The 13341-nt window shown below is 52.6% G+C and overlaps 1 protein-coding gene and 1 long non-coding RNA gene across 4 annotated transcripts in view, besides 5 other annotated features; both read left to right on the top strand.

The window, feature by feature from the left end:
- The window catches only part of HS1BP3 (HCLS1 binding protein 3), a 97238-nt gene that overhangs the window by 57671 nt on the left and 26226 nt on the right, over positions 1–13341 (top strand). The window lies entirely within an intron of this gene.
- On the top strand, positions 880–2653 carry HS1BP3-IT1 (HS1BP3 intronic transcript 1). Its single transcript, NR_046836.1, has 2 exons — positions 880–1006; positions 2181–2653. It is a non-coding gene; the product is annotated as an HS1BP3 intronic transcript 1 (long non-coding RNA).
- Positions 6894–7457: an enhancer, noted in NCBI's record as "H3K27ac-H3K4me1 hESC enhancer chr2:20785731-20786294 (GRCh37/hg19 assembly coordinates)". NCBI's record gives its function as "activates a minimal SCP1, AML or CMV promoter by ChIP-STARR-seq in naive H9 embryonic stem cells {active_cell/tissue: H9 hESC(naive)}" and the evidence as "EXISTENCE:reporter gene assay evidence [ECO:0000049][PMID:30033119]".
- Positions 8024–8588: an enhancer, noted in NCBI's record as "H3K27ac-H3K4me1 hESC enhancer chr2:20784600-20785164 (GRCh37/hg19 assembly coordinates)". NCBI's record gives its function as "activates a minimal SCP1, AML or CMV promoter by ChIP-STARR-seq in naive H9 embryonic stem cells {active_cell/tissue: H9 hESC(naive)}" and the evidence as "EXISTENCE:reporter gene assay evidence [ECO:0000049][PMID:30033119]".
- Positions 8589–9154: an enhancer, noted in NCBI's record as "H3K27ac-H3K4me1 hESC enhancer chr2:20784034-20784599 (GRCh37/hg19 assembly coordinates)". NCBI's record gives its function as "activates a minimal SCP1, AML or CMV promoter by ChIP-STARR-seq in naive H9 embryonic stem cells {active_cell/tissue: H9 hESC(naive)}" and the evidence as "EXISTENCE:reporter gene assay evidence [ECO:0000049][PMID:30033119]".
- Positions 11889–12449: an enhancer, noted in NCBI's record as "H3K27ac-H3K4me1 hESC enhancer chr2:20780739-20781299 (GRCh37/hg19 assembly coordinates)". NCBI's record gives its function as "activates a minimal SCP1, AML or CMV promoter by ChIP-STARR-seq in naive H9 embryonic stem cells {active_cell/tissue: H9 hESC(naive)}" and the evidence as "EXISTENCE:reporter gene assay evidence [ECO:0000049][PMID:30033119]".
- Positions 12450–13011: an enhancer, noted in NCBI's record as "H3K27ac-H3K4me1 hESC enhancer chr2:20780177-20780738 (GRCh37/hg19 assembly coordinates)". NCBI's record gives its function as "activates a minimal SCP1, AML or CMV promoter by ChIP-STARR-seq in naive H9 embryonic stem cells {active_cell/tissue: H9 hESC(naive)}" and the evidence as "EXISTENCE:reporter gene assay evidence [ECO:0000049][PMID:30033119]".

Raw genomic sequence — 13341 nt, 5'->3', positions numbered from 1 at the left:
AGTGTCAAGCGTTGTTCTAGCCGCTGGGACACAGCAGTGAACAAAACTGACAAAACAAGCCTGTGGCCTAGGGGAGGGGAGACAATGAACAACATAAATGAGGAGAAGGCCGGCACGTGTGATGGTGATGAGTGGTAAGGAAGAGAGAAGGCAGGTGAGGAAGAGGGAGTGTTCCGGGAAGGTTGCAAGTTTAGACAATGTGGCCAGGGAGGGCCTGGCCATACCAAACAATTGACTAAACCTGACGATGCTGATGGAGGAAGCGTGTGGACCCTGGGGGAAAGGCCAGCATCTGCCAAGGCCCTGAAGCAGGAACATGGTGTGCTGGGGGGACAGTGGGGGGACAGGGCTGGAGGTCAGGGGTGGTGGGGTAGACAGCGGGAGGTTGGAGGTCATGGATAAGGCCAGATCCTGAAGGGCCTTGAAGCACAGAGTAATGACTTGGGATTTTCCTTAAGGAGGTGATATCGTGGGTTGAATTCTTGCCCCCAAAAAAGCCATGTTCGCATCCTAACCCCTGGAACGTGTGAATGCGACTTTATTTGGAAAAGGAATCTGTGGATGAAATTAAATTAAGGATCTCAAGATGAGATCATCCTGTGTTATCCAGGTGGGCCTTAAATCCAATCACAGGTGTTTCTGTAAGAGACACACAGTGGAGAAGAGAAGGCCACGTGAAGGCTGAGGCAGGGATGGGCGTGGTGCTGCCACCAGCGGGGGAACGCCAGGAACTGGAAGAGGCAAAGAAGGACCCTCTGAGGGCGCAGGGTCCTGCTGACACCTCAACTTCAGACTTCTGGCCTCCAGGGCTGTGAGAGGAGACTTTTCAAGCCATCCAGTTTGTGGTCATTTGCTATGACTGCCCTGGGAAACTGATCCTGATGGGAAGCCCTTGGAAGCTCTTGAGCGGAGGAGGGACATGCTCTCCTGGGCTTACTCCTAGCTGCATAGGAGAGTCTGAGCCGGGCAGGGACAGAGCTGTCGGGGAGTCACTACGGTGATGCAGGTGAGTGAAGGCTAGAACTGTGATGGATGGGGGAGGTCAGAAGAGAGGGACAGGCCCGAAAGGGGAAGTAGGAATGGGCGGGGCGGGGCGGGGGAGGTGGATGGCCAGACAGGGAATCCCTTGAGGAAATCCAGGGGTTGTGGCGGATTTTGTGATGCAACCTCTGCCTCCCGCGTTCAAGCAATTCTAGTGCCTCAGCCTCCCAAAAAGCTGGGATTACAGACATGCATCACCATACCCAGCTAATTTTTGCAGCCCTCTGGGGGTTGCAGCAGCAGGGCACGTATGTGAGAGAGGGGCTCAGGAGAATAGTGTGACCAAGGGAGGTGTCCTCCTGGAAACCTTCACCCCAGCCTAGAAGCACAGGATAGGAACCAACTTCCTCCAGGGCCAGCTTTCTGGCCTGGATGCTGGGGCTGTTCTGTCCTTGGACCATCCATGGGACGTGATGTTGAACCGTCCCCCTAGGACCCACTAGCTGCTGTCAGATTTTACAGCCTCCCCCATGCAACCACCTGGGGTGTTCGCTGCTCAGAAACTCTCAGAAAGATCACACAGGGCCAGGTGCGGTGGCTCGGGCCTGTAATCCCAGCACTTTGGGAGGCAGAGGTGGGCAGATTGCTTGAGGCCAGGAATTCAAGTCCAGCCTGGCCAACATGATGAAACCACGTCTCTACTAAAAATACAAAAATTAGCTGGGCATGGTGGCGCATGTCTGCATTTTTTGGAGGCTGAGGCATGAGAATCACTTGAACACAGGAGGCAGAGGTTGCAATGAGCCAAGATCGCGCCACTGTACTCCAGCCTGGGTGGCAGAGCAAGACCCTTCCTCAAAAAAACAAACAAACACAATGGTCGACCAGAACTCCAAAGGGACAGAAACTGTCAGCAATGTGCATGGCTGGCCAGAACTTTGACAATAAACACCTGGCCTTGGTGCCACGGGAAACTTCCAAGTCTTGGGGCTCCCAGAATCCGAGTGCTTGTGGCTCTCTGGGGCTGGTGGCCACACCTATGTTTGAGGCTTTTTGTGGTCTGGTGGTGCACAGCTTCAAGCAAGACTCAATCCTGTTTCCATGAAGCAGAAGCGAGGCCTTGGAGTGTGCAGGGAGTGAGTGCCACGGGATGGCTGTTCTTGCCTGGGAAGATGACAAAAGGGCTCTTTCCTTGGCAGCTCCCGTGGAGGAAGGGGCTGGCAGCACCCAAGAACACAAGCACAGATGGAGGCGTCCCTCTCCAGTGGCTGGGGCAGGCTCTGATTCCGCCTCCTGCATTTGGAGCAGCTGTAAGCTATCAGGGCCTGGCTGGCTGGCTCCAGGCCTCCCAACGTAACCAGCCTGCCCTGCTATCCTGGCCTGAGGCTGGCATTCCTCCCATGGTCTCTGCAGCACTCATCATCGGCGCTCCTGCCACAGCATGGGGACCTGGGCAGCCTGATGGACAAATATTGGGCAGGGAGGTAGGGAGATGCAGTTTCCTGGATTCCCTTCCCTTTATTGAATAGGAATCTTTGCACCTAAACAAGTCTGTGTAGAGTCCAGATTGTGCTCTTTGTCCTTGGTCCAGGAGGTCCATCTCTTTGAGCATCAGTTTCCTCTAATGCCAAGTGGAGACAATAAATTGCCCTTTCCAGGGTCCCAACAAGGATTGCCAAAGTCAGCGTCCTTGGATGTCTAGCCTAGCTCAGGTGCCCAGGTGTTTGATAAGTTCTCACTGGATCCACACTGGGTTGACTCTGGATCTGTGGAAATTCATAGAGGCCCAGTTGCCCAGCCTGGCCCAGCCCACACGTCCAGCTCTGCCTATGAGAGGACCTGTCAGATGGGCCGGGCCATGCCATGAGGAAGAGGTGGAGTACGGGGACGTGACCTAATGAGGTTGACAGAGCAACAGCTGGAACCAGAGATCGCCAAGGGGAGCGAGGCTGTGGGGCTGCTCCGGGATGAGGGGGTGAGGCAGGGCCCAGAGGCATCGGGTCCCATCATCCTTCTACAGAGAAGGACAGCCCTGAGAGGCTGTGATAGTCTGTGATAGAAGGTGACTCCAGCCTCAGTAAAGAACAAACAGAGGATGCCCCACAGACACCACTGGTCTCTCCTGAGACCCTGGAAGGCTGGGTAGAGGTGGAGCTCACAGCTGACTCAGAAGTGAGGAAGATATGGGGAATGAGAATTCGGCTCAAGTCTGGAGCCGTGGCTGCACCAAAAAACACACACAGAGCCCGGGGGTGCAAACCACTCAGACAGGAAAACCAGGGCCAAATGCCCCCAGCTTCCACCTCAGCAGCCCCATCTGCTTGCCTGGAGGGCGGGGTGACTCCAGCACGGGCAGCCTGAGAGCTGCTGAGACCGGGTGGTCTCTGATGTGCTAGCCTCCTTCCTTTATTCATTCACTCTCCAGACATTAATTGAGCATTAACTCTTCACCAGACTCCTGGACACAGCAATGAACTGAGAGCTGCTGGGACCCATTGGTCCAGGGGGAACTACTGGAGGCTCCAGGACCCCCAGGAGTCTCAGTCATCTCTCTCTTCATGTGAGGCAGGAAACCCTCAACTGCCCCCACCCCAATTCCCCCACAATCCCGCCCCCAGCTGTGAGGAGTCTCCCTCCACCAGCTGTGAGGAGTCTGGGTCCTATAGCTGCAAGTCCTCCAGTTCTGGAAGCAGCCCTGTTCAGGAAGGGTGTGGTCTGGTCCATGCCTCACTGCCTTAGGATTTGAGCCACTTAGAATTCTCTATCCTCTGAATCTCAGGGTTGGGGGTGCTTATCACCCTAGAACTTGGTGTTTTCAGATCTGCAAAACACCTTAGAGCTAACAAGCTAACTTCCTGGCCCTTGGAAGCTGTCCAGCCTCACTGACCAGCTGCCGCTTATGGGGGTGTTGTCCCTCAGTCGATTTTTCAGAGTCAACCAATGCCAGGTCTGATCTCTTCATCGGCAGCCTCTAGCAGTGCCCACCTAGCATGCAGGGGAGCAGAGCTCAGTGACAGGGAACATGTGAAGAGCCCCAGGAAAGCTCGGCCTTTAGGTCATGTTCCACAGGGGTTTAGTGTCAAGAGTGAGGGAGGTTGGAGGTCTCGCCCATGTCAGAGCCCCCCAACAGCACAGTTTCAGAGAGACATTGGCACGCTGCAGGGTGCTCAGATGAGGATGTGTTGGACGGTGAAGGCCCTGGCAGTGACCACAAGGAGTGGCTGAACCTGGGATGGGCTATCCTGAGAAGTGAAGGCTCAGACTGGGGATGCACTCATTGCTGACCAATCTATGCACCCATCCATGCAAAGCAGGGCTAGTGGTCCATTCTGTGGCCCCCAGGGCAAGGCTAAGGCTGAATAGGGAGCAGAAAGGAGAGACAGTTTGATGCCCAGATGGAAGAAATGGAGAGATCAGTGCTGGGTTAGTGGTGACTTTGGGCCCAGCCCTGCCGACTCAGTGGTCAGCATCTGGTCCCCACTGGAGATCATGAGACAAGCACGAACGCCCTGGGCTTCCTCCACCTGGCAGCCCTCCCCCGGGGAAATCAGGCTCTCAGAAGGCTGAGCCTGCCTCAGCCTGGGACCTTGGGGACAGGCCTCTGTGAGGTTAGAGGGACCTCAGGCAAGCCTTCTGAGTAGAGATGTCCTGTGCCTTCGCCTCACATGGCTTTTAGGGAGCTTGCTTTTTGAGATGGTACTGACAGGCCAGAGAGGAGGGCAGAGGGGCTGCAAGCTCCCACATGGGCTGATGTGTGCTCCCAGGAGGGAGCTGAAACCCTGGGGCCTTGTGAGCCGCCAGCAGAAAAATCGGCTTGGAAGGCTGGGCGTGGTGGTTCACCTGTGTAACCCCAGAAAAATCGGCTTTGGGAGGCCGAGGCAGTCGGATCACTTCAGGTCGGGAATTCGAGACCAGCCTGGCCAACATGGTGAAACCCCGTCTCTACTAAAAATGCAAAAAAAAATTAGCCAGGCGTGGTGGCTGGTGCCCGTAATCCAGCTACTCGGGAGGCTGAGGCGGGAGAATCGCTTGAACCCAGGAGGCGAAGGTTGCAGTGAGCTGAGATGGTGCCACTGCAATCCAGCCTAAGCAACAGAGCAAGCAAACAATCGGCTTGGAATAATTCAGAAGACACTGTTTCTTGGTATGAGATAAAAGCATGTATATTATTTCAAAAGTAGCCTTTATTGTTTGTTCCAATTATAGAAGTAATACATGCTTGATATAGACAATTATGAAAATATAGAAAAGCATAGACAATTAACATCACTTTTAATCCTGTCACCTGTTGTAAACTATATTTTGGTCTTTTTTTTTTTTTTAACATCTTGGAGAGACAAGTCCACTTCCCTTGGTGACCAGCTTGGGGTGCCCTAGTATTCACAGGCTGGTCTCCGAGGACTGGATGAGAGTGCCTCCTATCCCCACCCCAAGGTGTCCCATGTCCTGGGGTGGGGATAAGTGTCCATGTCCTGGGTGGAGGAGATTGTGGAACAGCCAGATGGTTGGTGGAAGAGGCCCGGACGTTGAGACAGGGAGAAGATTTCTTTCCCAGAACAGAGCTGCCCATGCATGACATCCCCTCTGCCAAGGCACTGGGCTCAGTGGTCAGGCTCCCCACAGCTCCTGGCCACTTGGACTGTGCCTGTCACAGTGGTCTGATTCTTTTTACTTATTTATTTTTTTATTTTTTATTTTTTTGAGACAGAGTCTCGCTCTGTCGCCCAGGCTGGAGTGCAGTAGTGCGATCTCAGCTCACTGCAAGCTCTGCCTCCCAGGTTCACGCCCTTCTCCTGCCTCGGCCTCCCGAGTGCACAGTGGTCTGATTCTTAATCCATGGTCTCTGATACTTTCTGGGCCACTGACCTACCATGGGACCATGGCCACTGTCATTGGTGAACACAAACATCCTGCTCTCTTGCCCTCTCCCCGTCAACCTTTCGCCAGGCTCTTCCCAGGTTCCCAGCCTCACCTCTACCCTCTGAAACACTAAATGGGCTTGTGGCATCCCTACCATCCTCAGGAGAGCAGGGGATGGGGTCAGGGTCTTGCTCTCCCTGCCACAGATGGGCGTGGTTGATGGCCATCATGTTTCTATGTAGCTATGTCATTCATTCCTCTATACATGCTTCCTAAGAGTGGGCTCGTACGCTTTGCAGCCTCCTTTTTTCACTTTCGTTTCTTTTCCTTTGCATAAACATTCTTCAAAAAGACCACTTTAAATGACTGTGTCCTATGATCGTACAGACATATCATAATGTATTTATTCACCTATTGTAGAACATCTTGGCTTCCATGTTTTACTATTCAATACCCCCTTTATCAATCATCTTTGTACACAGTTTTTTGGTCTGAATTTCTCAATATTTCCTCAGAGAAAATTTCAAGACATTTACATTTTGTAGTTAAATATCCTTGATATGTGTTGCCAAAATGTTTCCAAAAGAGTTGCCCCTGACTGATATGCCACCCTCAGCCCAGGTTTGAGAGGGCTGGTGTTACGGTCTACACCAGCTTATGGTAACACCAATAAAGCCAGTCTCATGATCTGAAAGAGAAATAATGGTATTTCAAAATTATAATTGATACGATTATTAACGAAACGCAAATGTTCATACTTATTAAGCCGTTTAAAACTTTCTTGGTTGATTATCTGTTTTCTTTGCCTGTTTTCCTAACAAGGTTTTGATGGATTTATTTAAAAATCATTTGATGAGCTCTCTGTATGTTGTCATTTTGATATCTGTTGCATATATGTGTTGCTTAATTTTTGCTTTTGGAGGCTTTGAATGTACCAAAGCTTTATATTATTATATTGTCAAAGCTATTAGCTTTTCTTTTTGTGACATTGTTTGTTAGAAAGTCCTTCCTGGGAAATGGCTTTTTAAATGGGTCAAGAGCTTGCCTTTTCCTCCTTTGGGGCTCTCTATTTTTGGTAAATTCTAAACAAACATCCTTTTCCCAAATACCATTTTCCCGGGAACATCTGGAATGCGCTTGCTTTTATTTCTTCCTCCCCAGAGGACGGTGTATTGGGGTGGGAAGAGGCTGTCACACTGAGATGATCTCTGGGTGGAGAAACTGGACGGGGAAGCCCTGAGCTTCAGAAACAGCCCCTTCCCCAGCTTCAAGGTGGCTGTGCTCTGTTGTGAAAGATGTCTGATCTTTCCCGCCAAAAAAATAAAAACATTGTCCAAAAGCCTCTTTAATGTGATGTGTGTGCATTGTGAAGACGTTTTGAGAACGGGCATCAGACCCCCTCAAAGGGCAGGACGGTCCCGGCTCCTGGGAGGAGGAGGTGCCTTGAGGGCCTGTGAGTCCACACACATGGGTTTAGCCACTTACATCTCGCCATGAGGACACTGGAACCTCGGAGCCTGTAGCTGGGCCTCGGCAGTGCAGCCACGGTGTATGGCACTGCAGAGTGTTTGCTAGGCTCAAAGCCGGAATCTGCGAGTTCTAGCCCCAGCCCTGCCTCCTCCCAGCTGTGTGACTTCTAGGGGTCTCCTTTCCATGAAAGGAGGAGCAACACCCACCATGCAGGGTTGTGTCAGGATCAGACAACATGTGCTGTGCCTGGCACACAGTAGGTGCCGTGCCTGACACACAGTAGGCATGATGGTATGTATTCATCCCATGACGGGGCTGCTGTTGCAAGCGAACGGTATTGTGCACGCTGTCACTTGGGAAACGAACAAGGCAAAATGGCCAAGCGTGGGGCTGGAAGAAGAGCTGGGATCACTGCAGGACGTTAATGGTTATTTTTCTAGTATTTGGAGATAGCAGCTTCTCGGTCCTTCAAAGCATGAAGCAATGGATTTTAGAACAGGAAATCTGATGTTGTGGCAAAGCAAAGAGGCTTTGAAGTCAAGAGCTGAATTCCTATGTTTCTGGGTCTGCCACTTGCTAATCGTGTGACCTTGGGCAAGTTACTTATCTTCTCTGAGCCTGTTTCTTCATCAGAAAATGACACTATTAGCAGTGCTCTTCTTGTAGTGCATTGTAGGGATTCAGTTATGCTTGTAGAGTTAAGGCAAATATATAGTTATCTTCCAGACCGGGACACTCGAGAGTAAAAGGAGGCACTGTTGATCATTGTATTAGTAACCCAGGATTGTCCCAGGCAAATGGGGGCATATGGCCACACTATGTAAAGGGCTCAGCCTAGCGCTGAGCTCTGAATAAACCCTCAGTGATGTGAGCCGTGCTTGTGAGCTCTCTCCACAGCTGCAGAGGCCCACATTGGACCTAGAGGAGAACCATCGACTTGTCAACAGAGAGCTCTGGACAGAGTGGGAGGAGGGGCTGAGCTCCTCAGCCACGGCTCTGAGGTGGCAGCCACAGCCTCGCCACGCTGTGCCCTTTTGGAGGTTGTCCTTGGTGGGAGGAGGTGATGAGGGAGCAAGTACCTTTCCCAAGGTCACTGCAGGGGAGGCCCTGCTTAGATTGTCCCTCTCCATTTTCTGTCCCTTGGGAGCAAGTTAAAACCAACTCTACACAAGCCAAAGGCTTTGGTTCCAGCCTGAGTCTGGCCCTCCCTTCATTTGCTCCTCTGTGGCCCACACACTGCAGCATCTTAGCGACTCCAGAGGTCACCACCTCATCCCTCTTATCCTTGAGAAGAGCCCTCATCCCTTCCAAACCCAAAGTGAACAGACATGTGGTGTGCATGTCCCTCCAGCCCCATGAGCATAAACACATTCCTGAGCCTGAGCAGGACCCAGGAATGACTCAGGCTTCAGGAATGTGCAATCGGATCCATGTCACTTGGGGGGCAAATTCCTAAGGTGAGCAGTTAGCGGACCAAACCAAGAAGCCCTGGATCAGCTTCTGCATCTTTCAAGGAGAGTCAGGGGTCTGGACTGGCTCCAGCAGAAACCACCTCTTGCCATTGCCACCTCTTGGTTCTGCTCCTCCCCTGCTGACCCGAAGAGCCTTATGCAGTTGGCGGGGGATGGTGGTGCAGGGGCAGAAGTGGTGCACAATGGCCCCCATTCCATGTGCAGGTTCAGTGCTCAGAGAGCTGGAGCAGGCAGGCTGAGTCAGCAAGGGCAGGAGGCTGGAGCAGAACTGTGGCAGGGACCGGCACACCCCAGTCCTTCCCCAGCCCATTCCCTGAGCAGTGGGAGGAAGAGATGCCTCTAGATATAGGGTGATTAGAACATCTCTCTTCTGCCAGCATGGCTGGGCCATGGCCTACTGGCCTCCCCAGCACAGCCTCTGGGAAACTGGCTGCTTTCTAGAAGCAGCACCAGGAAGGGTGCAACTCCATGTTATCTATACCCCACCTGGCCCAGCCTACAGGGAGTCTCTGGGGACACAGCCCTGTGTCCTCGCTCAGTGCCACAGAACAATTTAATAAGCAATCTCTTACAATCGCAGAAGAAATCCCACATCTAATGGTTCTGAGGGTGGCCCTGTTGCTGGAGGGTCAAAACACTAATTATGCCCGAGTCTGTGAGCCTGGCACCAAATATGGTGACATTCAGAAACCCGGAGCCGTGGGACACAGATAGGAAATGCCATCTCCATATATTTGACATTGTGCAGGTGCTATGCTGGCCAGGTCCCAGGAGTGACCTTCCTTCCAGGTGATCTCAGACCAGTCAGGGAGACCATGACCCTGACAGCACGGTCCACTGAGCACTGGCAGGACCGAGCCCCAGGTGTCATGATGAGAGGCTCCTCTGAGGGCTTGGGGGCCACACTGAGGCCCAACATCTGAATACCCTTCCTCTACTGGGGGACTCACAGGGACGGAGGAGAGCCCAGGTCCTCCCACCATGAGAGATGATGTGGGCTGGTGCCTCCTCCCCACTCCTTTGCCACAGTGATAAGACATGGGCTTGACCCGCTGGCCCCTTCTCTCTGGACTTTGAAGCTGGAAGGAGCGGTGCCAGGCTTCAGGGAGAGGTGCTGAGAATTGGTGGGGCTACAAGAACTCAAGAATCCAGCAGCGTCCCTCCAGGGGTGACAGGTCCAGGTGTGCTGCCCCCATAGTGAGAACCAACTGCGCCCCTCCCTGGTTCCTGCCTGGCTCTCCAGCCTTCCTGATAACCCAGTAAGCTGCCCCCATAGTGAGAACCAACTGCGCCCCTCCCTGGTTCCTGCCTGGCTCTCCAGCCTTCCTGATAACCCAGTAAGCTGCCCCATATCCTTTCATTACAATCCTTTTCTATGTGAGTTAGCCAAAGCTGGTTTCTGTGGATGGCATCGGAAGGTGAAGTGCAATGGGACAACCTGTGCCCAGGCTGGGGGCCTGAGAAACTCAGCTCAGGACAGCTCAGAGGGGTTGTTCAGAAGTGAGGGACCACAGTGCATGGCACATGCCTGCTCCATCGCCCCTCCTTGCTCAGGACCTGAGCAGAGGCTGGGGGTGGCTGAGGGTCTTGGTTCTGGGTGGAGGGTGGGCTTGGGCTCTCAGGTTAGGCTGAGTAGCAGGTAGGCCCAGGGTGTGAGGAGGGTGTGCAGGCAGGCCCAGGGCCTGGTAAGTGGCAGAGGGTTGGGACTCCTCCTGGCCTGGCTGGAGCAGGCAGGCTTGTAGGCACTGGAGGCTCTGACCCTGCCAAAAGGGTCCCTGCCTGTGTCTGAACCCCTCAGGGAAGAGGAGACCCAGCACAGTGGGCGTTTGTTCCTGTGTGACACTGCCCTTCCCTGGAGCAGGATGAGCTGAGCCCAGCGAGCTGAGGTCACGTCTGCCCCATGACAATCCTCCCACTGTCCCTCAGTTGGGACATACAGTGCCATCCCAGCTGCCCCTTAGCTGATCTCCTAGATGCCTGTGAAACCCGAGTGGAAAGAGGGTGGGTGGGGTCCCCTGATGCCAAGGATGGGGGTGCAGAGAAAGGGACCATGATGTAATGGGCTGACATGAGGGGGAGCACTGCCTGTCTCTGGGGACCTCTCAGCTGGAAATGGAGGAATTCAATGACTTCCTCCCCACACCAGACATCTGCAGGGCACTCTTAGAGCCTGCTACCCCCACCCCTCCCTCACTTATCTGTGCTGCCTGAGAGGCCCACCCTCCCCCTAGGACAGCTCTCCCCTACCAATCTCTCTCAGCCACTCCCTGCACACCTCCGGTAGACCAGTCCCCAGCTCCATCCATGTCAGCTCTCCTTCTAGAGGCTGTGAGCCCTGGAAGGCTGTGCTGAGCTTCCAGAGGCTCTGAGCACAGGAGGCTGTGTCTCTCAAGGCTATTCTACACTGCCTGGGGCTTCACTTTCTTTTCAGTGGAATGGGAGCCTTCGCCTCCAGGAAGGCAGCCCACAGTGTGGTGGTCACACCCTGCATAAATCCTCTCCTTGGTGTGGGGGCACCGGTGACTTATTTCTAACCAACAGAATCTGGCAAAGGTGAAGGGATTTTGCAAATGTAATTGAGGCCCCAAATCAGTTGACTTTCAGTTAATAAAAACAGACTATTTTGTGCAGGCCTGGCTCAATCAGGTGAAAACCCTTGTAACAGGGACTGGGCTCTTCCTGAGTCGAGTACCTCTCCTTGCAGGCTTGATGGAGTAAGCAGCTAACTCATGAAAGCCCACCTGGTAAAGGCCACAGGCAGCCTCTAGAACCTGAAATTGGCCTACAACTAGCAGCAGAAAAGCTAGGGCCCCCAGCATACAGCTGCAAGGTAGTGCATAGGTGGAAACAGATTCTTCCCCACTTGAACCTCCAGATGAGATCACAGCCCAGTTGACACCTTCATTACAGTCTTGTGAGACCCTGAGCAGAGGATCCAGGTAGGCTGTGCCCAGACGACTCAACCACAGAAACTGTGAGGTAATAAAGGTGTGTTGGCTGGGTGCGGTGGCTCATGCCTGTAATCCCAGCACTTTGGGAGGTTGAGGCAGGCAGATCACCTGAGGTCTGGAGTTTGAGACCAGCCTGGGCAACATGGTGAAACCCTGTCTCAACTAAAAATACAAAAATTAGCCAGGCATGGTGGTGCACGCCTGTAATCCCAGCTACTTGGGAGGCTGAGGGAGGAGAATTGCTTGAACCCAGGAGGCAGAGATTGCAGTGAACCAAGATCACACCACTGCACTCCAGCCTGGGTGACAGAGCAAGACTTTGTCTCAAAAAAGAAAAGAAAAAGAAAAAGAAATAAATATTTGTTGTTTTAAGCTGCTAAGTTTGTGGTAATTTTTAATGTAACAATAGAACACTAAATAGAACACTAATACAGACAGTGAGATAAATGGAAGGCTTCGGAATGTCAGGCTGGAGCTTGGAGAGGGAGTGGATGTCTTGACTTCTCCAAGATCAGAACACTGATCCAAAGCCCCCATCAGGCCAGAGGCAGCAGCTGAACAGTGGGCATGCTCTGAGACTGAGGACTGGAGCTGGGCCGGGTGTGAGAGCCTGCACTGGGGCCTGTTTTCCAACTTTTGCGGAAGACAGCCTGCTCTTTGGGAAGGATGTTGCCTGGAGTGCATGCCTGACAAGCTGGCATCTGCATGGGACACTAACCTGGGGCTGTGCCTTCAGCAGTGGTATCCTTGGGTCTGGGCCAATATCCGTGGTGTGAGTTCAGCAGGCATGGGACTCTTGTTCACATGGTCCATGCACACTGAACTTAAATATTGATTTTCAAGAATAACTTCCAGGTTGCTCATCACTTGTCTGCCTGGGTGTTTACTTCCACCAGCAGCTCCTGAGGGTTTCTTTTACCCCCACTTTCTTTGTCAGCACTTGATATTATCTGACTTGGTAATTTTTGCCAATCTCATAAGTGTAAAGGAGAATCTCACTGTTTTAATTTGCATTTCTCTGATAACTAGCGAGGTTGACAACATCCTCATGAACTTGTTAGTCATTTAGATTTCCCTTTCTGTGAATTCTTTTTATAACCTTTGATTCCTTTTAACAAATTAATTTTTGCTTCCCCACCCCACCAAAGTTTCTTTTCTTTTTTTTTCTTTTTTTGGAGACAGAGTCTCGCTCTGTCACCCAGGCTGGAGTACAGTGGCACAATCTTGGCTCACTGCAACCTCTACCTCCCAGGTTCAAGCAATTCTCCTGCCTCAACCTCCTGAATAGCTGGGATTACAGGTGCACACTGATACGCCTGGCTAATTTTTTGTATTTTAGTAGAGACGAGGTTTCACTGTGTCGCCCAGGCTGGTCTCGAACTTCTGAGCTGAGGCAATCCACCCGCCTCGGCCTCCCAAAGTGCTAGGATTACAGGCATGAGCCACCACACTCAGCTTCCCCCTTGGAAGTTTCTAAAGGCCTCCAGCTTGTTTGAAACCCAGGGGCAGGCCCTCAGCCTTGCCTTGCTTATTCTTGCATCTCTGCCCAGCTTAGCCACTAGGCTGTGTGCCCTCTGCTCCAGTCCTTGCCCCCTTGGGGCTGTGTC

The sequence above is a fragment of the Homo sapiens genome, chromosome 2, assembly GCF_000001405.40.
Source record: "Homo sapiens chromosome 2, GRCh38.p14 Primary Assembly".
Lineage (NCBI taxonomy): Eukaryota > Metazoa > Chordata > Mammalia > Primates > Hominidae > Homo > Homo sapiens.
Note: the sequence above shows the minus strand (reverse complement) of the source record. Positions and strands in the feature narration are given on the sequence as shown.